A 26,769-nucleotide genomic window follows, 5' to 3' on the forward strand; every position below is an offset into this window, starting at 1 on the left:
CTAGAAATATATTTATCTTATTCATCTTTAAAAAAGACACTGTATCATGTACAACATCTCCAGGAGTCTTAAAAAATTATAACAGTGTTATGGGTTTGCTTCTAATACTGAGCACCAATGTAGAATGTTGATACTATGATGAAGCACAATTTTGGGAAAGCAGATGTATAGGAGAGTGAATGGGCTGCATATCCATTAGGCAATTTTCTTCTTACCGAATGTCTCTGAGTCTTGAGTTACATTAAGCTCAGGAGTCATGCTTCCTGCCTTAAGGAACACTTTAAGTTGTGAATGACAGAGACCCAATTTAAGCTAGCCTGGGCTAAAAGGAATTAATAGGCTTATTATCAAATTACTGAAGGAGAGACATGCAGTTGGGCCACAAAAACAACTAGAACCAAGGCCCTGACCACAGCCAGGAATCTCTCCTTCTCTCTCTGTGTTATTTCTGCTTCTCTTGGAATTTTAGCTTCATTCTCCCAGACTGGCTTCTTGTGCCTTGCTCGAGTCCTCACCACTGGCAACTCTAAAATGACGTCTTCAACTTCCCCTGTGCCCTCTTCCTTTTTGTCTCAATTTGAAAAATCTTCAAGAGGGACTCTGATTGGCTCAGTTTGAGTCAGGGCCACACTGTGGTCAGGGGAAGAGGGCATTATACAATGAAATGCCCACAAGAAAAACTTGGCTGGAGTAAGGAATGTGTATTAGTCAGCTCAGGCTGACATAAAATACCACAGACTGGGTGGTTTGAACAGAAATTTCTCATGTTTTGAAGGCTAGCAGTCCCCAGTTCAGTGTCTGGGGAGGGTTCTCCTCCTGGCCTGCAGATGGTCACTTCCTTGCTGTGTCCTCACGTAGCCTTTCCTTGTTGCCTTTGTGGAGAGAGAGAGAGAGAGAGAGAGAGAGAGAGAAAGAGAGAGTGAGCAAGCTCTCTTGTACCTCTTATTAGAAGGACACTAATCCTATTAGATCAGGAGTGACCTTTATGACCTCAGCTAACCTTAATTACTTCCTTACAGCCCTCATCGCTGAATACAGCTACATTGGAGATTAAGGCTTCAACATATGAATTTGGTGGCTGGGGACATCAACAGTCAGTACATAACAGGGTGGGTCAGTGATTTTCTAAGGAAGACAACTGCTGCTACCAGAAAAGGGAAGCAGGGCTTGAATGACGAAGCAATAAATGGCCTAAGTACTTGCTGTCAAGCCCTGGACTATAGTCACTCAAAATTTCTTGTTAGATGTGGAAATGTAGATGTTAACAACTGACAGAGATGCAGTGGGGCTAATATTCTCTTATGAAAGACATGGAGACTGACAAGAATGCATCACTCTTGCCTCTGAGCTGAAAGAAGACCTTTGCACCAGCAGGTGGCCCCTCAACAGGTTGTTTGGGTTCTTATTTAGTACACACATGAAAAAGTAAGTTGAGCCTCTGCTCCATACCACCAATTAATAGCGAAAATAGTTTTATACTGGAAAACCTGTAAAGCATCAGATGTCCACCAGTGCCATTAAAATTATAACTGTCAGGAAAGCCAGATAATATTTAAACTGTGCACTCTGATCTACCCTCCAAAATCGATCCATTGCAAAATATGATACGACGTAATTGGTTAAGTTAAAACTTGCCGTATACAAGTATTGGTTACAACACAATTAAATGTTAGGGCAAATCTCATTCTTCCGGAATAGTATCTTCGATATTAAAATGTTGTTTGCATGTGTGTGGCAGGGTCTTGCTCTGTCTCCAAGGCTGGAGGGCAGTGGCACAATCATAGCTCACTGTAACCTCAAACTCCTGGGTATAAGAGATCTTCCTGCCCCAGCTCCCAAGTAGCGAGGCCTACAGGCATGGGCCACCACACCCAGCTAATTTTTAATTTTTTTGTGGAGACTGGGTCCCACTCTATTGCCCAGGCTGGTCTCAAACTCCTGGCCTCAAGCAATCCTCCCACCTCAGCCTCCCAAAGCACTGGCATTATAGTATGAGCCACTGTGCCCAGCCTTGATATTGAAATATTTGATCTGAATCTCTTCTTTTTTGGCAGTAATTACAGGCCTGGTTTGGTTATCCATCGAGGGCACTGCTGATTCATGATAATAAAATCATGACATCTCCATATAAAAAATGTTTATTCTTCTACATGCTATTGAAAGGAGGTGCATCTCTATCTCAACCAAAATAGCTTCAAATCAGGGAGCTTTGAATTAAAAGGAAAATGGACAGAACACACTCCTGAGATGAAAATTGCTATGTGATTAATCAAAATAACATAATGATCAACTCTCACACTTGCAATCATTTTAAGTCTGTACATGTATCAGAAACAAAGAGTTTATTTTAAGCTCATCAACTGAGCCCACAACTGATATCTGTGCCTAGAATCAAAGGCTGAGGAAAAGTGGATAAAAGCACTGAGCTTGCTTCAGTTAGTCCTGAAAGCATTCTCCTCCAGGTGATGATGAGTAAAACAGCATTTATTTGCTCTTTAATTTGGCTCCCAGCCCCCAAAACCCAGAGTTGCAATCAGGAAAGAAGCACATATTTTACATGAATAAGGTAAAATAAATGTGTAATAATAAGGTAATAGATATTACTTTTTAAAGAATAAAGGATGTCCTTTCAAGCAATGAAACATTTTTACTTTAAAGCTTGAGTAATATATATGTTCTTTATAAAGAAAAAAAATGCAGGGTTCTCTTGGGTGTGAGTTATACACAAGCTCACTCTGCATCCACATTTTAATACTAAGCTGTGTAGGCTATTACAGCCTTCCTGGACTTAATCCCTCAAAATGTTCATAGTGATGGAAGAAGCACTTCTATCTTGTGTGTTTGTGTGTGTATCTCTGTGTGTGCATGCTCATGTGCACATGTGTGCATGTGAATATTACATAGCACAGCTTACTCCAAATAAATCCTCAAAATATTCCCACTGAATCTCCAGTGTTTCTATTCTTTACTATCCCCCATATGGTTGAAGAATCCAAAAGTCATAACCAATTCTCAAATATTTTCTTTGAAAACCTACATCCTGGAGGTTGGTTCCCCATCCTGTTTTTATCTGACTCTACTATTTCTTGATATTTCAGTATAAATTTCCAATTTAATATCCCGCCACAAGGACATTAACACAATTGCCAATATACGAGCTGAGCTGTCTTGGAAATGCTCGGTTTTCAGGATGCCATTCAGATAATCCAGACAGTGCTTATATTGGAGGTTTGTTTAATTTTATTTTTAAAAAATTTTAATTGAAATCAGTACAAAGTACTCAAAATTCTCACAGAAAATATATGGACTTTATAGATTATGTTTCTGGACATAGTTTGAAAAACACTGAAATAACCACATTCTGGGTCTAGCCAAATGGGATTCTGCCATTACTTTGATAAAGGTGAACTCATTGGAAAGAAATCTTCCTAAGATGTTTCATCTGGACTGTAAGATTTTCTGTTTGTTTGCTCGTTTGGTCAGCTGTGCAACTAAATAGCTGATTAGCATCTTTAGATACTCAGTGTTTGGACTGTTGAGTTTGATTTCTAAAACTAAACAGTCTGAACCCCTCCTGCCAAGAAGCCATCAAGATCTTAGCTTCATACATCTGGTACCTGCTTCTCATAGGCTGCCCTTATGGCCAAGCATTTTATCCAAACTCAGTTATTCCTACATCAATTTATTAAACCTGAGGGTTTTTATAAGGTGATAAGGAATTTATAATAATATTTAAATTTGACTTAAGCAAAAGGTTTGGATAGTCTTTTCATGTTCTCATTTTCCCCTCTAAACTGGCCAAGGTTTATTTTGAAGCAGGCACTTGGATGAGTACCACATTTGCATGACACAATGAAGAAGGACCTATTTTAAGCTCAAATCATTGACAGAAAAGGAAGGGATAAGCTTTCCATCGAGGCATCAGGAGCTAAGTTTTAAACAGGCTTTTGCTAGCAATAGGTCACAAGAGAGTTTTAAAGGTTTGGTTAACCCCACTTCTCTCAGCTCCCTAAGCTCATGGTCTGGGTATGGGTAACGGACTGTGGGCCAGCATGGCTACATATTAAAATGTGTTTATTTTTCCATGGGGTAAAAAATCATACTGAGGATGGTGATTAGGAGAGAGCCTGGAAGCTTCTACAATGTAGTCACCCAGTGAGTGAGTGAAATAATCTGAAATATTTTCCTAAGCCACTATATACACCACCATCATCTCAGTTCATAGGTGCCTTTTGTGAGAAATTTTTTACTTAAAGAATGTTTTATAGCTAATCAATTTTCTTCTTCCCTTTGATTCTGGGTGGGGCCTATCAGACCACTGCTATGCCCCAAATTCAGGTCCCCAGAGACCTGAATAACTCCACTGTAATAAATGCATAATCAATAAATGTTAAATACTCTTATGAAATCATAAGAAAGAAATAGCATAGTAGAAAGATAGGCAATGATATTTCTAAGAGGGGCTCTGCGAAGACAGGATTGACCAAGAGGAGAGGAAAGCTTCCTCTTATTATTTCTAGCACAGGTCCCCCCTGTGGCTACCGCATCTATAATCACACTTCTTGTCAGTCATGACATAAAATTAATTAAGGAAAAATATGTGATTGATTTTTACTAATTAAAGAAGAATAGGAGATTAGAAATAAAGTAACATTAAAACACTGAGAATAAGGGGGAAGGAAAGAGTAAAGTACAAATTGAAATGGGAGAATAAAAATCCCAGTGAAGACAAGAGATTAACAGTTGAAAATAATAAAAGAAAACACATGATGTTTAGAATAAAGTATAAAAGGCCAGTGGTCAATGAGATTAAAAAATAAAATCCTGAAAGCAAAAGAGATAAAGGATGAAAAGCCCATGAAACAAAATTTTAGACAAAAATCCATATAAATGTGAGAGATTAAGGATTAAGAGCAGGAATTAGGACATACAAAGGTAAAAGTAGAAAATATAGTATATGAAAAAGGAGTATTAAGGAAAATTATGTTTAAAGGCCTAAATATGAAAACTTTAGAGAAATCATTGAACAGAAATGTCACAGCATGAGGGTGGACCCCAATGGAGGGTGATATGGCATAGTCAATAGCTCTTGGGCTGAGCGTCTTGCCCTTCATAAGGGGCTTCCTTTCAAGTGGGTGGTCTTTACAGGTGAGGCACCAAGGATATGGAGAACAATCTTATAAACTTAAGTCCCTTCAGTCTCCCTAAAGAATAAAACAGAAAATCCTGAAGTTGACTGGCCTCTCAACACTTACAAGGCAAGCCCCATAGAAAAGTTAGGATTCTTTTTTCCAAAAGTCAAAGGCAGAGGGAGAAGTGATTAAATCCTATAAAATCAGAAGCTGTAGAGAAGGGATGAATATGGATTTATTTTTAAATCCAAATCTTTTTATACCATCCATGAGAAAGAGTCAAATTTAAGATAATTGAGAAGAAGGCATTGTTACATGAAGGTTAACACACATGGAACTCATAGCTCAAAGAATTAGTATAGATAATACTTAAATAGTTGTCAAAAGGATTTGGTATACATGTAAATTTACCAGAATGCAGAGGAAAAGAACTGGAAGACATGACTGGAATCTAATCCCATCTCTGCCACTAGCTGACTGTGTGACCTTAGGTAAAGCATTTTATGTTCTTGCATCTTACATTACTTGTGCATCTGTAAGATAAAAAGTTTGGTTTGATATTCTCTAAAACTAACATTTGAAGTTGATATTAAGAGAAATGAGCTTTCTCATATGCTGAATATTGGGATGAATGGGTCATAGATCTGGGTCTGTAAATAGGAATTGAAATATAATTCTTAGAAGGGCCAGAAGGTTGAGTATATGAGAGAAATGACCAGATATAAGACAACAAGGGTTGATGGGGTTGTAAACAACTGGAAATACATGTCTCCTCTAAACGGCATGGTGCTTCTCAGCTATGCCTGATATTGTTATGTAGAAATGTAGGCAGCCAATTCTTTAGATTTTTTTTGTAAAGAAGCCAGAAATCTTTTACGATGTGATATCTCCTGATTGTTAATATCACTAACTTATTTTAAAAATTGAAAAATCAGTAGGTGAGTCAGCTGAAAAACATCTGCCAGCTCAGTTTGGACTGTGGGTCACTGTCTACAAACTCACTGATCTGTAATGCCCCAATCCTTACATCTGCCTCAAAAGTTCAGATCAGGTCTTTACCTAAGCACTGCTGGCCCAAGGCAGAAGTGAATTTATGGAAACTTTATTTCTCCAGTCACTAGATTTATTCCTGTAAGGTCAGAAGTAATGTTTTCTCTCTCATTTCTTTTTACAGTGATTTGCATATTCTCCTTTTTTCTTGTTCAATCAAGCTAAAAGTTTGTCAATTTTGTTGATCTTTTCAAAGAACCAAATTTTGATTTCATGTATTCTTTCTATTGTTTTTCTCCTCTTTATTTTACTCATTTATGTGCATCTTTATTTTCTACCTGCTTGTTCTTCTTTTTCTAGTTTTTTTTTTTAAGATACAAGGTTAGGTTATTGATTTGAAATCTTTCTTTTTTCATAATATAGGCATTTATAGCTATAAATATCCCTCTAAGAACAGTTTTAATTGTATCTACAAGTTTTACGTGCTGTGTTTTCATTTCCATTCATCTAGGTGTATTTTCTCACTTCTCTTGTGATATTTTTTGACCCATTAGTTATTTAGGAGTGTGTTATTTACTTTTCACATATTTTTGAATTTTCTAAATTTCTCTCTGTTATACATTTCTAATTTCTTTCCATCATGAATATAACACATAATTTGTAAGATTTCAATCCTTAAAAATTTATTTTAGATTTGTTTTATAGTCTAACATATCATCTATCATGAAGAAAGTTATATATGCATTGAGGATAATGTATATCCTGCTATTGTTAGGTGTAGTTGGTTTATAGTGTTTTCAAGTCTTCTGTTTCCTTATTGGTCTTCTGCCTGGTTGTTTCATTTGTTGTTGAAAGTAAAGGTATCAACATCTCCAACTATTATTGTTTAATTATCTATTGCTCTTTTCAACTCTGTCAGTTTTTGCTTTAAATATTTGGGAGCTCTGTTGTTAGGTACTTTTATATTTATAATTGTTACGTCATCTTGACGGTTTGGCCCATTTACCATTTTAAAATGTTCTTCTTTGTCTCTAGTAACAATTTTTGTCTTAAAGTCTATTTTGAACAATATGCAATCACTAGCTTTAGGCATCTTCCTCTACCCTTTCCTCAACTTTTGCTTGAGATTATATAAAAATTATTTATGTTCAATAAGCTCACAGTGTTTCCCATTCCCTGACTCCTGGCAAATTACCACCTTTCCCTTGCTTACTCTTCTGAGAACTAAAAGACTCAAAAGTCAAATGAGGATTATTTTAAGTAATAAAGACAGTTTTAATGGAGGAAGAGGTAATTGATGTGATGGGACACATTATATAGAACTGCGGAGGGGTGAAACGATGAGAAGACCAAGATGGCATTGATAGAGTGATGTGGTTAAAGGGGTTATTTGAGTCTAGGAAAGTGAGACATTCCCAGAACATTCAACATGATAAAGAATAGGAGTGAAAAGACAAGGTATTTTAAGAAATTAGGCTGTGAGGTCTGTGCTTTTTTCCACTTAATTGTTTAGGAGAGATGTATAAATGTTGAAATTCATTTGGGGGCAGTGCTTCTTAAAACAGGATGCCTCTCAGACACTGAACTGTATGTGATATGGCTAACCAAGTATTACATATAATAATTCTCCAAGAGAATTCTGAAAGGAGAAGACAGTAAAGGCAGAGGCCACACTTCTGAAGAGATATTTAATGTTAGAGTAGGGGAAAGCTATAGTTTAAAAAAATTCAGTATTATGCTTAGGTAAATACTTACATCATATGCATTATAAGATAGATCTATATTTAACTTTTTAAGAAATTGTCAAACTGTTTTCCAAAGTGATTATAACAGTTTTCATTCCTACCAGCAATGTATGAAAGTTCCAGTTTCCTTACATCCTCAACAACACTTGTTGTTATAGTCAGTCTTTCTAATTTCAGCCATTCTAGTAACAATATTGTAGTACCTTATTAGGAATTTAATTTGTATTTCCCTAATGCCTGATGATGTTAGACATGCCTTATTTTGCCCATGTTGTCTTTATATCTTCAAAGGTGAAGTGTAAATTCAAATCTTTTGCCTATTTTTAAAAGTTCTGAATGAAATCCTTTATCAAGTATATGTTACATAAATATTTTCTCCTAGTTTGTGGCTTGCCACTTCATTATCTTATCAGCGTTTTGCAAAGAGCAGCAAAGAGCAGAAGGTTTAAATTTTGATGAAGTCCAACTTATCAACTTTTATTAATAGGGGTTCTGGTTTTACAGTTAAGAAATTTTTACTTAAATGTTTTCTTCTATACTCTTTATAGTTTTAGATTTAATGTCTAGGTCTATTATCCATTTTGAGTTAGCATCTGCATATAGTATAAGGTATGGATTGAAGTTTTTTCTTTTTTTTTCTTTTTTTTTGCATATAGCTATCTGCGGGAAAACAGTTCTACATGACTCTCACATTTCTGGATATCTTATCAGAAAAGGCATCTTTGTTCAGAAAGGCATCTATATTTTCAAGGATGTTTGTATAGCCAATAGCCTTGGGAAACAGAGACAGTGTCTCTCTTCATAGCAAAGGGCAGATTTGTTATCTGTCCAAAATAATACAGACAATTTCTTCTTTTTGGGTAAACATCAGGAAGGTTTACTACCTTTTATAGAACATTCAAGGTCCCTAAGTTCAGAGGTCTTCAGTTGTGACACAATCCCAATGTGTCCAAAGCCACATCACATTGCTGGAGAGGCAGGGGAGATGAGAGTAACTGTGTTCTTTTTTCAAACATGTGTCTTTCCTAGACTCAGTAAACCTTTTAATCTGCCCTAAACCCCATCAGTGTATTTTTCATCTCCATTATTGGAGTTTTATCCCTAGAATTTCAAATGTTTAAAAATCTTCCATGCTTCTACCTACTTTTTTGAACATATGAAATATACTTATAGTAAATATTTTACTGTCCTTGTCTATGAATTCTAACATCTGTGTCAGTTTCCATTGATTTTTTTCCTTCATTATGCATTATATTTTATTGCTTATTTTCTGCTTATTTTCATGCATGTTTTTATTATATGCCAGACATTGTAAATTTTACCTTTTTGTGTGCTTGATTTCTTTTACTCCAATAAAAATAAATGCGCTCTGTTCTGAGGTGCAGTTAATTTACTTAGAAACCATTGCAAATTTTGGGTCTTGCTTTTAAAATTTGTTAGGCAGGGATCAGAGAAGTATTTATTTCACAACTAATTGTTCCTTACTACTGAGGCAATATCCTTTTGAGTACTATACTCAATGTCCCATAATTTTTTATTTATATAAACTTATGGGGTACAAGTGCAATTTTGTTACATGTATAGATTGCATAATGGTCACATCCTGGCTTTTAAGGACTCTATTACCTGAATAACATACATTGTACCCATTGAGTAATTTCTTATCCTCCACACCCTCTCACTCCCTCACCCTTCTGAGTCTCCATTTTCTATCATTCCACTTTCTACATACATACATAAACATTTTTTAGTGCTCACTTATGAGTGAGAGCATGTGATAGTTGTCTTTCTCTGTCTGGCTTGTTTCATTTATAATGACCTCCAGTTCCATCCATGTTGCTGTGAAAGATATACCTTTATTCTTTTTTTATGGCTGAATAGTATTTCATTGTGTATATATGTCACGTTTTCTTTATTCAGTCTTCTGTTCAAGGACACTTAGAATGATTCCATATCTTTGCTATTGTGAATAGTGCTGTAATAAATATAAGAGTGCAGGTATCTTTTTGATATATTGATTTGTTTTCCTTTGGATAGACACCAAGTAGTGGAATTGCTGTATCAGATGATAATTCTATTTTTACTACTTTGAGAAATTTCCACACTGTATTCCACAGAAGCTGTGCTAATTTACATTTACACCAACAGTGTGTATAAGAGTTCCCTTTTCTCTGCATCCTTACCATCGGTTCGTTTTTGACTTTTTAAATAATAGTAATTCTGATTAACGTAAGATGATATCTCATTGTGGTTTTAATTTGCATCTCTGATAATTAGTGATGTTGAGTATTATTTCATATATCTCTTGGCCATTTGTATGCTTTCTTTTGAAAAATGTCTGTTCATGTCTTCTGCCCAATTTTAATTTTTTTATTTAGTTTTTTTCTTTCCAACTTTTATTTCAGGTGCATGTTTGTTACATGAATAAGTTGTGTGTCATGGGGGTTTGATGCACAGAGAATTTTTTCACCCAAATAATCAGCATAATATCCCAATGGGCAGTTTTTCAATCTTCATCCTCCTCCCACTCTCCACCCTCAAGTAGGTACTGATGTCTGTTGTTTCATTCTTTGAGTCCATGTGTACTCAATGTTTAGCTCCCACTTGTAGGTGAAAACATGCAGCGTTTGGTTTTCTTTTCCCGCATTAACTCACTTAGGATAATGGACTCCAATGCCATCCATGTTACTACAAAGGATATGATTTTGTTCTTTTTTATGGCTGTGTAGTATTCTGTGGTGTATATGTACCACATTTTATTTATCCAGTCCACTATTGATGGGCATCTAGGTTGACTCCATGTCTTTGCTATTATGAGTCGTGCTGCAATGAACATACGCATGCATATGTCCCTATGGTAGGATGATTTACATTCTTTTGGTTATATACACAATAGGGATTGCCAGATCGAATGGTAGTTCTATTTTAAGTTCTTTGAGAAATCTCCAGACTGCTTTCCACAGCAGCTGAACTAGTTTACATTCCAACCATCAATGCATAAGCATTCCTTCTTCTCTGCAATCTTGCCAGCATCCATTATATTTTTACTTCTTTTTTTTACAATTCTTTTTTTTTTATTATTATACTTTAAGTTCTGGGGTACAAGTACAGAATGTGCAGTTTTGTTACATAGGGATACATGTGCCATGGTGGTTTACTGCACCCATCAACCCATCACCTACATTAGGTATTTCTCCTAATGCTATCCCTCCCCTAGCCCCCACCTCCTGACAGGCCCTGGTGTGTGATGTACCCCTTACTACGTCCATGTGTTCTCATTGTTCAACTCCCGCTTATGAGTGAGAACATGTGGTGTTTGGTTTTCTGTCCTTGTGATAGTTTGCTGAGAATGATGGTTTCCAGCTTCATCCATGTCCCTGCAAAGGACATGAACTCATCTTTTTTATGGCTGCATAGTATTCCATAGTGTATATGTGTCACATTTTCTTTTTTTATTATTTATTATTTTTATTTATTTATTTATATATATTTTTTATTATACTTTAAGTTCTAGGGTACGTGTGCACAACGTGCAGGTTTGTTACATATGTATACATGTGCCATGTTGGTGTGCTGCACCCATTAACTCATCATTTACATTAGGTATATCTCCTAATGCTATCCCTCCCCCTTCCCCCGACCCCACAACAAGCCCCGGTGTGTGATGTTCCCCACCCGTGTCCATGTGTTCTCATTGTTCAATTCCCACCTATGAGTGAGAACATGCGGTGTTTGGTTTTTTGTCCTTGCGATAGTTTGCTGAGAATGATGGTTTCCAGCTTCATCCATGTCCCTGCAAAGGACATGAACTCACCCTTTTTTATGGTTGCATAGTATTCCGTGGTGTATATGTGCCACATTTTCTTAATCCAGTCTATCATTGTTGGACATTTGGGTTGGTTCCAAGTCTTTGCTATTGTGAGTAGTGCCGCAATAAACATACGTGTGCATGTGTCTTTATAGCAGTATGATTTATAATCCTTTGGGTATATACCCAGTAATGGGATGGCTGGGTCAAATGGTATTTCTAGTTCTAGATCCCTGAGGAATCGCCACACTGTTTTCCACAATGGTTGAACTAGTTTACAGTCCCAGCAACAGTGTAAAAGCACTCCTATTTCTCCACATCCTCTCCAGCACCTGTTGTTTCCTGACATTTTAATGATTGCTATTCTAACTGGTGTGAGATGATATCTCATTGTAGTTTTGATTTCCATTTCTCTGATGGCCAGCGATGCTGAGCATTTTTTTCATGTGTATATTGGCTGCATAAATTTCTTCTTTTGAGAAGTGTCTGTTCATATCCTTCGCCCACTTGTTGATGGGGTTGTTTGTTTTTTTCTTGTAAATTTGTTTGAGTTCTTTGTAGATTCTGGATATCAGCCCTTTGTCAGATGAGTATATTGCGAAAATTTTCTCCCGTTCTGTAGGTTGCCTGTTCACTCTGATGGTAGTTTCTTTTGCTGTGCAGAAGCTCTTTAGTTTAATTAGATCCCATTTGTCATTTTGGCTTTTGTTGCCATTACTTCAATTATAGCCATTCTGATTGGTGTGAGATAGTGTCTCATTGTGGTTTTGATTTGCATTTCCCCTAATGATTGGTGATATTGAGCATTTTTTTCATATGCTTGTTGGCCATTTTGTGTCTTCTTTTGAGAAGTGTCTGTTTATGTCTTTTGTCAATTTTTTAATGAGGTTGTTTAGTTTTTGCTTGTTGATTTGCTTAAGTTCCTTGTAGATTCTGGATATTAGATCTTTGTCAGAGATATAACTTGCAAATATTTTCTCCCATTCTGTAGGTTGTCTGTATACTCTGTTGATAATTTCTTTTGGTGGATGGAAGCTCTATAGTTCAGTTAGGTCCCATTTGTCAATTTTTTATTGTTGCAATTGTTTTTGGCATTTTTGTGATGAAGTATTTGCTAGGGTCAATGTCCAGAATGTTATTTCTTAGGTTTTCTTCTAAGGTTTTTATAGTTTTAGATTTTACATTTAAGTCTTTGATACATCTCTAGTTGATTTTTGTATATGGTGAAAGGTAGGGGCTCTGTTTTAATCTTCTGCATATGGCTAGCCAGTTATCCCTGCACCATTTATTGAATAATAAGTCCTTTCCCCATTGCTTGTTAATGCTGACTGTGTCAAAAATCAGAGTTGTAGGTGTGCAGCTTTATTTCTGGGTTCTCTAACTTGTTCCATCGGTCTGTGTGTGTATTTTTGTACCAGTAGCATGCTGTTTTAGTAACTGTAGCCTTGTAGTGTACTTTGAAGTCACTTTGCCCACTTTTTAATGGGATTATATGGTTTTTGTTGTTGTTGATATGTTAGAGCTACTTGTAAATTCTAGATATTAGATGAATAGTTTGCAAACATTTTCTCTCATTCTGCAGGTGTCTCTTCACTCTGTTATTTCTTTTGCTATGCATAAGCTTTTTAGATTAACCAAGTCCTATTTGTCTATTTTTGTCTCTTGCTTGTGCTTTTAAGGTCTTAGTCATAGGTTCTTTTTCTAGATTAATGTTCAGAAGAGTTTTCCCTATGATTTCATCTAGTATTTTTATAGTTTTGGGTCTTACATTTAAGTCTTGAATCATTTTGGGTTTATTTTAGTATGCAGTGAGAGAAAGAGGTCCAGTTTTATTCTTCAGCATATGGCAATTCAATTTTCCCAGCACCATTTGTTTAAATAGGTATTCTTTTCCCCACTGTGTGTTCTTGTTGGCTTTGTTAAAGATCAGTTGGCTATAAATATATGGGTTTATTTCTAGGTTCTCTATTTTGTTCCATTGATCTATGTGCCTATTTTCATACTAGCACCATGCTGTTTTGGTTACTATAGCCTTGTAATATAATTTGAAGTCAGGTAATGTGATGCCTCCAGCTTTGTTCTTCTTGCCTAGCATTGCTTTGGCTATTCAGGCTCTTTCTTTGGTTCTGTATGAATTTTAGGATTGTTTTTTCTAAACCTGTGAAAAATGACATTGGTATTTCAATTGGTATTACTTCGAATCTATAGATTGCTTTGGGCAGTATGGTTATTTTAACAATATTAATTCTGATTTATGAGCATGGGGTGCTTTTCTATTTGTATCATCTATAAATTGTGACTATAACTGACTTTTTCTTTTGTTTGTTTTTGTTGCTTTTATTTATAACTAAATTTTTATTGTGTGAAACCATCACACAATGGTTTCACACTAAATATTCAGGAACATTCTCATTGTTCCAAAAAGAAACCCTGTACCTATTAGTAGTCAATCTCTGTCATTTTCTGGCCCTACTCTGGAAATCGCTAATTCTGTCTCTAGGTATTTGCCTATTCTGGACATTTCATATAAATGGAACCTTACTAAATGTGGCCCTTTGTCTGACTTATTTCACTTATCCTAACATTTTCCAAGGTTCATCCATGTTGTAGCATGTATCAGCACTTTATTCATTTTTATGGTTCAATAATATTTCACTATATGGATATATCACATTTTATTTTTTCACTCATCTACTAATAGATTTTTAGATTATGCCTACTTTTTTGCTATTATTAATAATGTTGCTATGAAATTCACATACAATTTTTGTGTGAAAACGTATGTTTCTATTTGATATTGGAAACATGATATTAAATATCTTCTTATGTGCTTTTTGAACATTTAATTGTATTTGGATAAATATATATTCAAATCCTTTTGCCACTTTAATTTGTCTTTTAATTGCTAAGTTATAAAAGTTTTTTGGATTTTCTGAATACTATACATTTATCAGGTGCATGATTTGCAAATATTTTTCCCATTCTGTGGTTTCTCTTTTTACATTCTGGATGATGTCCTTTGAAGCACAGAAGTAAGTGTGTAATTTGAATTTTTAATTATTTATTTTTATTGCTTGTACTTTTAGTGTCATAGCTAATAAACTACTACTTAATACAAACTCACAAAGATTTACAACTGTGTTTTCTTCCAAGAGTTTTACAGTTTTTGTTTTAACATTTAGGTCTTGAATCCATTTTGAGGTTTTTTTTATAAAATGTGGAGAAAGTACAAGTCCAACTATTTTTTTTCATCTGGATATACAGATACCCCAGTATGATTGTTGGAAAGGCAATTTTTTTCCCTTATTGAATAGCAGTTAACTTAAAGGTGAAGATTTATTTTTTGAACTCTCAATTTTATTTCACTGACCTATATGTCTATTTTTATACTAACGCATAAATACAAAACCAAATACAAAAGCATTTATCAAAAATCTCTGAAAATTTAAGAAACATAGATTGATTACAGAAGGAATTCACAACTTGAAGAAGTGACAACAAAGGGTTGAAGTTCCTTTTTTCATTCTCTCTCTCTTTCATAACATTTACCTTAAGGGTGGGGCCTGATACTTGAGTGGCAAAGTGGCACAAGTGATGAATTCTTATAGAAACTCAGTCTTTGTGGTCAGAGAAATCAGGAAAAGAAGCCCCTCAGGGTAAGTGGATGAATAATTCAAATGAGGAGAGAATCTTAATTAATGTGGCTTTGCACTAAGTTTTGAAATCAAGAAGTATGAGTCCTCCGACGCTGTTATCCTTTTTTCGAGATTTTTTGGTTATTCTGTGTTCTTGGCCTTTCCACACGAATTTTAAGATCAACATGTCAATTTATGCAAAAAAGCCAGCAGGAATTTTGGTATGGATTACGCTGAATCTGCATATCAATATGGAAGTGTTGACATCTTAACAATTGTAAACCTTCCAATCCATGAACATGGAATGTCTATTTATTTATGTCTTCTTTAATTTTTCAATGATATTTTGTAGTTTTCAGTGTAAAAATCTTGCACTTCTTTTGTTAAATTTATTCCCCAGCATTTTATTCATTTAGATGTCATTGATAAAGAAAATTGTTTTGGTTTTTTTTTTAGATAGTTCACTATTAATACATAGATATACAGTTGATTTTGTATATTAATCATTTCCTGCAATCTTTTTGGACTCATTCATTTGTTTTCAAGTGATTTCAAACATATTTTGATTTTTCATTCTTAGTTGAATACATTAAAAGTCTTTTTAAAACTGCAAAGAAATGTTAAATCACTCAGTAATATATTTTAACTAATAATAATTTATGCACATTGTAAACTAAACTAAATAAGTAAATATTAAATCTAATTACAGGCTGGGTGTAGTGGCTCACACCTGTAATCTCAGCAATTTGGGAGGCTGAGGCAGGTGGATCGCCTGAGGTCCAGAGTTCGAGACTAGCCTAGCCAACATGGTGAAACCCCATTTCTACTGAAAGTATGCACGTTAGCTTGGCGTGGTGGCACATGCCTGCATCCCAGCTATTCAGGAGGCTGAGGCAGGAGAATCGCTTCAACCCAGGAGGTGGAGGCTGCAGTAAGCCAAGATCGCGCCATTGCATTCCAGCTTGGGAAACAGAATGAGACTCTGTCTCAAATAATAATAATAAATAAATAAATAAATCTAATTACAAATCCATATTTTGGTGTAAGACAAAAAGATATAAAAATGAAGTTCAGTTAAAATTTTGTAATCCAAACTTAAAGTTGAAACTATAAACTCACAGTTTATAGTCACTCAGAAACAGTTTCCTAGCTCTAATCACTGAAAATACCTGAAAACAATAGCTTATGTAGTCTGTACAAATACCCCTAATACATATATAGTGTTTTTCTAATAATATACTTCTTTAAAGAAACCAGGGTTTCTTGAATCCAAATCAGGAGAGGGAAAATTATAAGATAAGCTTGACACATCTTGGTATATCAGAATAAAAGAAAACTATCAAAAATTACTGGAGTTATGAAAAAAGGACATGAAATCAATTCTGAGTTTAATAAAAATTATTAATATAGAAGTGCTAGTTCCAGCATGGTAGCCTGATCCTACTTCTCACTAATTACACAAAACCTGAACTAAATACAAAAGCATTTATCAAAACATCTCTGAAAATTGAACAAAAGTAGATTAATTACAGAGAGGCAATTCACAACTTGAAAAAGTGACAGCACAGGATTGAAGTTTCTTTTTTCATTCTCTCTCTCTTTCATGACATTTACCTTAAGGGTGGGACCAGATACCTGAGTGGCAAAGTAGCACAAGTGATGTATTCTGTCAGAAACCCAGTCTTTGTGGTTAGATAAATTAGGAAAAGAACCTCCTCAGGGTAGGTGGATGGAGAATTCAAATGGGGAAAGAATCAGAGAAGGGGATCTCCTAATACTATTCATGGACTTATACAAATCTTAAGTTCTTTCTTGAGTTTTGGAACGTGTTGAACAGACTTGAACCAGTTTATCAATGTCTTTGAGAGCTGAGCTAAAATTTGAGCCACTGTTCACAGAAGGCAAGACAGAACTTATGGTCTGAACTTAAGCATGATGACTGCCTGATAAGTGAAAACATCGCTATTCTCCAAAGGATTACAGGACCCAAGGGCTATATAGTATAATATTAATGATGCTCAGTTTTAAATCCAAATTAATGAAAATTCAAAGAACTCGAGAAATGTAACCAATTCTCCGGGGAAAATACCATAAACAGAAGCTGGCTTTGGGATGAAGCACTTGCTAGAATGATCATATAAATACTTTACAGAAGCTAGTATAAATATACTCTATATAATAAAGGAACATATGCTCAAATAAATGAAAAGATAGGATTACTAAGCAAGAAATAAAAGGTGTTTTAAAATAACTAATGAAAATTTTAGAACTAAACAAATAAAATATCTGAAATTTTAAAAATTCACTAGATGAACTCAGTAACAGAATGATCCACACAAGAATGAGTCAGTGAATGTGGTAAGGATGAATCAATAGAAATCAGTACAAGCTATACAATCTGAAGAATAACCTTCCCTAAAAAGAGAAAACCAGAAAGACATAAATTGGGGCAGAAAAAATTCAAAAAATAATAGCTAATAACTTTGCAAATTTGTTTAAAGACATAATTTACAAATCCAACAAAGTCTATGAACCCCAAACGCAATAAACTAAACAAAAACTATGCCTACATACATTACAGGAAGATAATGGAAACCAAAGATAAAGGAAAAAATCCAAAAATATATACAAAATAATACACATTACATAGTGAGAAACAATTATTTCAATGATCATGGATTTCTCATCATAAACTATGGAGGCCAGAAGACAGTGGAACAACGTTTTAAAAGTAGAGAGAAAAAAAAAACTGCCAACAGAGAATCCTACATTCAGCAAAATTTTCTTCAGGGATGAAGGCAAAATAAAAGCTTTCTCACAGGAGGGAATACTAACAACTCAGGTCACAGGCTCTAAAGAAATGCCAAAGCGGGTTCTTCTGGCTAAAGAGAAAAATATCAGGGGAAATTTGAACCTACTGGGATGATGGAGAAGAATGGAAATGATAAATATATAGTTAAATATAAAAGACTATTTTTTCTCTTTCAAGTTTTTAAATATACATGAAGCTTTTGAAAATAAAAATTTTAACTATGTGTGAAAGAGCTTACAGTGCAAGAGGTTGTAATATGTAACACAATAGCATAAAGGTTAGTGGAGGAGGGGAGTTAGTGGGACCTATATACTTCCTAAGTTTCTACATTTTACTTAAGTGGTATGATAACAACTCTAAGCAGGTATTAGCTACTATATTAACTCTGTTAATTACTACTATTAACTACTATATTAACTCCTTGCTAGTATGTTACCTCTATTAACTACTACATTAACTGTAATATGGATATAAGTACTATAATCCCAATGGAAACCACTAGTAAAATACAAATGATAATAGCTGAGAAGCCAATAGATAAAATGGAATATTTAAAATATTCAAATCATTCAAAAGAAGGCAGAAAAGAATACAGAGAGAAACCAAATACTGAAGAGAAAAACAGAAAAAAAATGGTAGACCTATGTCTCTTACAATACTATCAATAATTAATTAAATGTTATTCCAGACAGACAAGCAAGACCTTACTTTACACTGCCATCAAGATGCATTTTTTTAATATAAAGCCACAGATAAGGTAAAAGTAAATGGGTGGGCCAGGCATGGTGGCTCACACCTGTAATCCCAGCACTTTGGAAAGCCGAGACAGGCAGATCACCTGATGTCAGAAGTTCGAGACCAGCCTGGCCAACATGGTGAAACCCCATTCCTACTAAAAGTACAAGAAAAATTAGTCGGGCATTGTGGCAGGTGCCTTAATCCCAGCTACTCAGGAGGCTAAAGCAGGAGAATTGCTTGAACCCGGGAGGTGGAGGTTGCAGTGAGCCGAAATTGCACCACTGCACTTCAGCCTGGGAGATAGAGTGAAACCCATCTCAAAAAAAAAAAAAAAAAAAAAAGAAAAGTAAATGGGTAACAAAATGTACAAACGAAAAATTTATGTAAACAAAATTGTCATTCGAGTAATCATATAAAACACAGTTCACAGTAAAAAATAAAAAAATAAACAATTTTATAATGATAAAAGGAATATTAAGCCATATCAAATATAAATGTAACCTTTAAAAGACTACGAAAAGAAATGAACTATTAACAATTCAAATCCGTTAATACAGAGAAAGCATAATATGTATCATGACCAAGAAGGATTTACACTAGGAATGTGAGATTGATTTATCATACAAAAATAAATTATTGTAATACATCATATTAACAGAATAAAGGGAAAAATCGTATGATGTTTTCAATCAATTCAGAAAAAAATATGTGAAAAAATGTACATCCATTCAAAATTAAAACTTACCAAAAAACTGAATGAAAATAATTGTAAAGCTAGCATTCTGAACTGAGTGAAAATATCTGTTAGAGATGAAAGCAAAACACTTTTTAAAAAAAATTTTATTTATGTTTAACAGCCTTATTAAAGTATAACTGGCTTACAATACTCTGCACATATTTAAAATCTATAATTCATTATTATGTATGTGCATATCCAAAATCCATTATTACAATCAAGACAATAAAAATATCCACCAAACCCAAGAGTTTCCATGGGCCTCTATGAAATCCATGTCTGTCTCTCCACACTCCCTGCTCTTCCCTCATACCCAAGAAATAACAGATCTGCTTTTTGTCAATGTAGTATGTTTTGCATTTTCTAGAATTTTATATAATTGAAATCATTGACTACACATTTTTTACTGACTTCTGTTAAACTTTTTGTTTTTAACTGACACATAATTGTGCATATTTATGTGGTGCAGTGTGATGTTTGATATATGTGTACATTGTATAAAAATCAAATCAAAGTATTTTGTTTATTCACAGCCTCATATATTTATTACTTCTTTGTGGGGAGAACATTCAAAATCCTCTCTTCTAGCAATTTTGAATTGCTAGAAGCAATACAATATGGTTAACCATAGTCACCCTACTGTACAATGGAACACCAGAGATAATTTTTCCTATATAACTGTAACTTTGCACGCATTGACCAATCTTCTAATCTCCCTATCTCCCCACTACCCGTCAGCCTCTGGTAACCACTATTCTACTCTCTACTTCTAGGAGATCAACTTATGAGTGAGATCATGTGGCATTTATCTTTCTATTCCTGGCTTATTTTACTTAACATAATGTCCTCTAGGTTCATCCATGTTGCTATAAATGACAAGATTTCTTCCTTTTTTATGGTGGAATATGTTGTGTGTATATATATACATATATATGTGTGTATATATATGTATACATATATATACGTATATATACACATACATACGTATATATGTATATACATATATACACACATTTTCTTTGTGTATATATATACATATATATGTATATATATATACACCATTTTCTTTGTGTATATATATACATATATGTATATGTATATATATACAACATTTTCTTTATCCATTCATCCATTGATGGACACTTAGGCTGATTTCATATCCTGGGTATTGTGATTAATACTGCAATAAACATGAGAGGGCAGGTATGTATTTGATATAGTGATATTATTTCCTTCGGATATATAGCCAGTAGTGGGATTGCTAGATCACATGGTGGTTCTTTTTTTTTTTTTTTTTTTTTTCACAAACAGGTGAATTTTATTTTATTTATTTTATCATTATACTTTAAGTTCTAGGGTAAATGTGCACAACGTGCAGGTTTGTTACATATGTATACATGTGCCATGCTGGTGTGCTGCACCTGTTGACCCATTATTTACATTAGGTATATCTCCTAATGCTATCCCTCCTCCCTCCCCCCACCCCATGACAGGCACCTTTATGTGATGTTCCCCACCCTGTGTCCAAGTGTTCTCATTGTTCAATACTCACCTATCAGTGAGAACATGTGGTGTTTGGTTTTCTGTCCTTGGGATAGTTTGATCAGAATGATGGTTTCCAGCTTCACCCATGTCCCTACAAAGGACATGAACTCATCCTTTTTTATGGCTGCATAGTATTCCATGGTGTATATGTGCCACATTTTCTTAATCCAGTCTATCATTGATGGACATTTGGGTTGGTTCCAAGTCTTTGCTATTGTGAATAGTGCCACAATAAACATACATGTGCATGTGTCTTTATGGCAGCATGATTTATAATCCTTTGGTTATATACCCAGTAATCGGATGGCTGGGTCAAATGGTATTTCTAGCTCTAGATCCTTGAGGAATTGCTACACTGTCATCCACAATGGTTGAACTAGTTTACAGTCCCACCAACAGTGTAAAAGTGTTCCTATTTCTCCACATCCTCTCCAGCACCTGTTGTTTCCTGACTTTTTAATGATTGCCATTCTAACTGGTGTGAGATGGTATCTCATTGTGGTTTTGATTTGCATTTCTCAGATGGACAGTGATGCTGAGCATTTTTTCATGGGTCTGTTGGCTGCATAAATGTCTTCTTTTGAGAAGTGTCTGTTCATATCCTTTGCCCACTTTTTGACGGGGTTGTTTGATTTTTTCTTGTAAATTTGTTTAAGTTCTTTGTAGATTCTGGTAATTAGCCCTTTGTCAGATGGGTAGATTGCAAAAATTTTCTCCCATTCTGTAGGTTGCCTGTTCACTCTGATGGTACTTTCTTTTGCTCTGCAGAGGCCCTTAGTTTAATTAGATCCCATTTTGTCAATTTTGGCTTTTGTTGCCATTGCTTTTGGTGTTTTAATCATGAAGTCCTTGCCCATGTCTATGTCCTGAATGGTACTGCCTAGGTTTTCTTCTAGGGTTTTTATGGTTTTACATATAACATTTAAGTCTTTAATCCATCTTGAATTAATTTTTCTATAAAGTGTAAGGAAGGGATTCAGTTTCACCTTTCTACATATGGCTAGCCAGTTTTCCCAGCACCATTTATTAAATAGGGAATCCTTTCCCCATTTCTTGTTTTTGTCAGGTTTGTCAAAGATCAGATGGATGTAAATGTGTGGTGTTATTTCTGAGGCCTCTGTTCTGTTCCATTGATCTACATCTCTGTTTTGGTACCAGTACCATGCTGTTTTGGTTACTGTAGCCTTGTAGTATAGTTTGAAGTCAGGTAGCATGATGCCTCCAGCTTTGTTCTTTTGGCTTAGTGTTGTCTTGGCAATGCAGGCTCTTTTTTGGTTCCATATGAATTTTAAAGTAGTTTTTCCCAATTCTGTGTAGAAAGTCACTGGTAGCTTGATGGGGATGGCACTGAATCTATAAATTACCTTGGGCAATATGGCCATTTTTGCGATATTGATTCTTCCTATCCATGAGCATGGAATGTTCTTCCATTTGTTTGTGTCCTCTTTTATTTTGTTGAGCAGTGGTTTGTAGTTTTCCTTGAAGAGTTCCTTCACATCCCTTGTAAACTGGATTCCTAGGTATTTTATTCTCTTTGAAGCAATTGTGAATGGGAGATCACTCATAATTTGGCTCTCTGTTTGTCTGTTATTGGTGTATAGGACTGCTTGTGATTTTTGCACATTGATTTTGTATCCTGAGACTTTGCTGAAGTTGCTTCTCAGCTTAAGGAGATTTTGGGCTGAGACGACGGGGTTTTCTAAATGTACAATCATGTCATCTGCAAACAGGGAAAATTTGACTTCCTCTTTTCCTAATCGAATACACTTTATTTCTTTCTCTTGCCTGATTGCCCTGGCCAGAACTTCCAACACTATGTTGAATAGGAGTGGTGAGAGAGGGCATTCCTGTCTTGTGCCAGTTTTCAAAGGGAATGCTTCCAGTTTTTGCCCATTCAGTATGATATTGGCTGTGGGTTTGTCATAAATAGCTCTTATTATTTTGACATATGTCCCATCAATACCTAGTTTATTGAGAGTTTTTAGCATGAAGGGCTGTTGAATTTTGTCGAAGGCCTTTTCTGCATCTATTGAGATAATCATGTGGTTTTTGTCTTTGGTTCTGTTTATATGATGGATTATGTTTATTGATTTGTGTATATTGAACCAGCCTTGCATCCCAGGGATGAAGCCAACTTGATCGTGGTGGATAAGCTTTTTGATGTGCTGCTGGATTTGGTTTGCCAGTATTTTATTGAGGATTTTTGCATCAATATTCAACAGGGATATTGGTCTAAAATTCTCCTTTTTTTGTTGTGTCTCTGCCAGTCTTTGGTATCAGGATGATGTTGGCCTCATAAAATGAATTAGGGAGGATTCCCTCTTTTTCTATTGATTGGGATTGTTTCAGAAGAAATGGTACCAGCTCCTCTTTGTACCTCTGGTAGAATTTGGCTGTGAATTTGTCTAGTCCTGGACTTTTTTTGGTTCGTAGGCTATTAATTATTGCCTCAATTTCAGAACCTGTTATTGATCTATTCAGGGATTCAACTTCTTTCCAGTTTAGTCTTGGGAGGGTGTATGTGTCCAGGAATTTATCCATTTCTTCTAGATTTTCTAGTTTATCTGCATAGAGGTGTTTATAGTATTCTCTGATGGTAGTTTGTATTTCTGTGGGATCGGTGGTGTTATCCTCTTTTTCATTTTTTATTGCATCTGTTTGATTCTTCTCTCTTTTCTTCTTTATTAGTCTTGCTAGTGGTCTATCAATTTTGTTGATCTTTTCAAAAACCCAGCTCTTGGATTCATTTATTTTTTGAAGGGTTTTTTTGTGTCTCTATCTCCTTCAGTTCTGCTCTGATCTTAGTTATTTCTTGCCTTCTGCTAGCTTTTGAATGTGTTTGCTCTTGCTTCTCTAGTACTTTTAATTGTGATGTTAGGGTGTCAATTTTAAATCTTTCCTGCTTTCTCTTGTGGGCATTTAGTGCTATAAATTTCCCTCTACACACTGCTTTAAATGTGTCCCAGAGATTCTGGTATGTTGTTTCTTTGTTCTCATTGGTTTCAAAGAACATCTTTATTTCTGCCTTCATTTCGTTATGTACCCAGTAGTCATTCAGGAGCAGGTTGTTCATTTTCCATGTAGTTGAATGGTATTGAGTGAGTTTCTTAATCCTGAGTTCTAGTTTGATTGCACTGTGGTCTGAGAGACAGTTTATTATAATTTCTGTTCTTTTACATTTGCTGAAGAGGGCTTTACTTCCAACTATGTGGTCAATTTTGGAATAAGTGTGATGTGGTGCTGAGAAGAATGCATATTCTGTTGATTTGGGGTGGAGAGTTCTGTGGATGTCTATTGGGTCTGCTTGGTCCAGAGCTGAGTTCAATTCCTGGATATCCTTGTTAACTTCCTGTCTCGTTGATCTGTCTAATGTTGACAGTGGGGTGTTAAAGTTTCCCATTATTATTGTGTGGGAGTCTAAATCTCTTTTTAGGTCTCTAAGGACTTGCTTTATGAATCTGGGTGCTCCTATATTGGGTGCATATATATTTAGGATAGTTACCTCTTCTTGTTGAACTGATCCCTTTACCATTATGTAATGGCCTTCTTTGTCTCTTTTGATCTTTGTTGGTTTAAAGTCTGTTTTATCAGAGACTAGGATTGCAACACCTCCTTTTTTTTGTTTTCCATTTGCTTGGTAGATCTTCCTCCATCCCTTTATTTTGAGCCTATGTGTGTCTCTGCATGTGAGATGGGTCTCCTGAATACAGCACACTGATGGTTCTTGACTCTTTATCCCATTTGCCAGTCTGTGTCTTTTAATTGGAGCATTTAGTCCATTTACATTTAAGGTTAATATTGTTATGTGTGAATTTGATCCTGTCATTATGATGTTAGCTGGTTATTTTGCTCAGTAGTTGATGCAGTTTCTGCATAGCGTCGATGGTCTTTACAATTGGACATGTTTTTGCAGTTGCTGGTACTGGTTGTTCCTTTCCATGTTTAGTGCTTCTTCAGGAGCTCTTGTAAGGCAGGCCTGGTGCTGACAAAATCTCTCAGCATTTGTTTGTCTGTAAAGGATTTCACTTCTCCTTCACTTATGAAGCTTAGTTTGGCTGGATATGAAATTCTGGGTTGAAAATTCTTGTCTTTAAGTATGTTGAATATTGGCCTCCACTCTCTTCTGGCTTGTAGAGTTTCTGCCAAGAGATCTGCTGTTTGTCTGATGGGCTTCCCTTTGCAGGTAACCCAACCTTTCTCTCTGCCTGCCCTTAACATTTTTTCCTTAATTTCAACTTTGGTGAATCTAACTATTATGTGTCTTGGAGTTGCTCTTTTCGAGGAGTATCTTTGTGGTGTTCTCTGTATTTCCTGAATTTGAATGTTGGCCTGCCATGCTAGGTTGGGGAAGTTTTTCTGGATAATATCCTGAAGAGTGTTTTCTGGCTTGGTTCCATTCTCCCTGTCACTTTCAGGTACACCAATAAGATGTAGATTTGGTCTTTTCACATAGTCCCATATTTCTTGGAGGCTTTGTTCATTTCTTTTTACTCTTTTTTCTCTAAACTTCTCTTCTCGCTTCATTTCATTCATTTGATATTCAATCACTGATACCCTTTCTTCCACTTGATCAAATCGGCTACTGTAGCTTGTGCACGTATCACGTAGTTCTCGTGGATGGTTTGCAGCTCCATCAGGTCATTTAAGGACTTCTCTACACTCTTTATTCTAGTTAGCCATTCATCTAATCTTTTTTCAAGGATTTTTGCTTCTTTGTGATGGGTTCAAACATCCTCCTTTAGCTCAGAGAAGTTGTTATTACCGATTGTCTGAAGCCTTCTTCTCTCAACTCGTCAAAGTCATTCTCCATCCAGCCTTTTTCCATTGCTGGCGAGGAGCTGCATTCCTTCGGAGGGGAATAGGCACTCTGATATTTAGAATTTTCAGCTTCTCTGCTCTGGTTTCTCCCCATCTTTGTGGTTTTATCTACCTCTGGTCTTTGATGATGGTGATGTACAGATGGGGTTTTGATGTGGATGTCATTTCTGTTTATTAGTTTTCCTTCTAACAATCAGGACCCTCAGCTGCTGGTCTGTTGGAGTTTGCTGGAGGTCCACTCCAGACCCTGTTTGCCTGGGTATCACCAGCAGAGGCTGCAGAACAGCAAATGTTGCTGTCTGATCCTTCCTCTGGAAGCTTCATCTCAGAGGGGCACCCAGCTGTATGAGGTGTCAGTCAGCCCCTACTGGAAGGTGTCTCCCAGTTAGGCTACTCAGGGGTCAGGGACCCACTTGAGGAGGCAGTCTGTCCACTCTCAGATTTCAAACTCCATGCTGGGAGAACCACTACTCTCTTCAAAGCTGTCAGACAGGGACGTTTAAGTCTGCAGAAGTTTCTGCTGCCTTTTGTTCTGCTATGCCCTGCCCCCAGAGGTGGAGTCTGCAGAGGCATGTAGGCCTCCTTGAGCTGCCATGGGCTCTACCCAGTTCGAGCTTCCTGGTGGCTTTGTTTACCTACTCAAGCCTCAGCAATGGCAGATGCCCCTCCCTCAGCCTCGCTACTGCCTTGCAGTTCAATCTCAGACTGCTGTGCTAGCAGTGAGCGAGGCTCCATGGGTGTGGGACCCTCCAAGCCAGGCACAGAATATAATCTCCTGTGTGCCATTTGCTAAGGCCGTTGGAAAAGTGC

This window comes from Homo sapiens, chromosome 10 (assembly GCF_000001405.40).
Source record: "Homo sapiens chromosome 10, GRCh38.p14 Primary Assembly".
Lineage (NCBI taxonomy): Eukaryota > Metazoa > Chordata > Mammalia > Primates > Hominidae > Homo > Homo sapiens.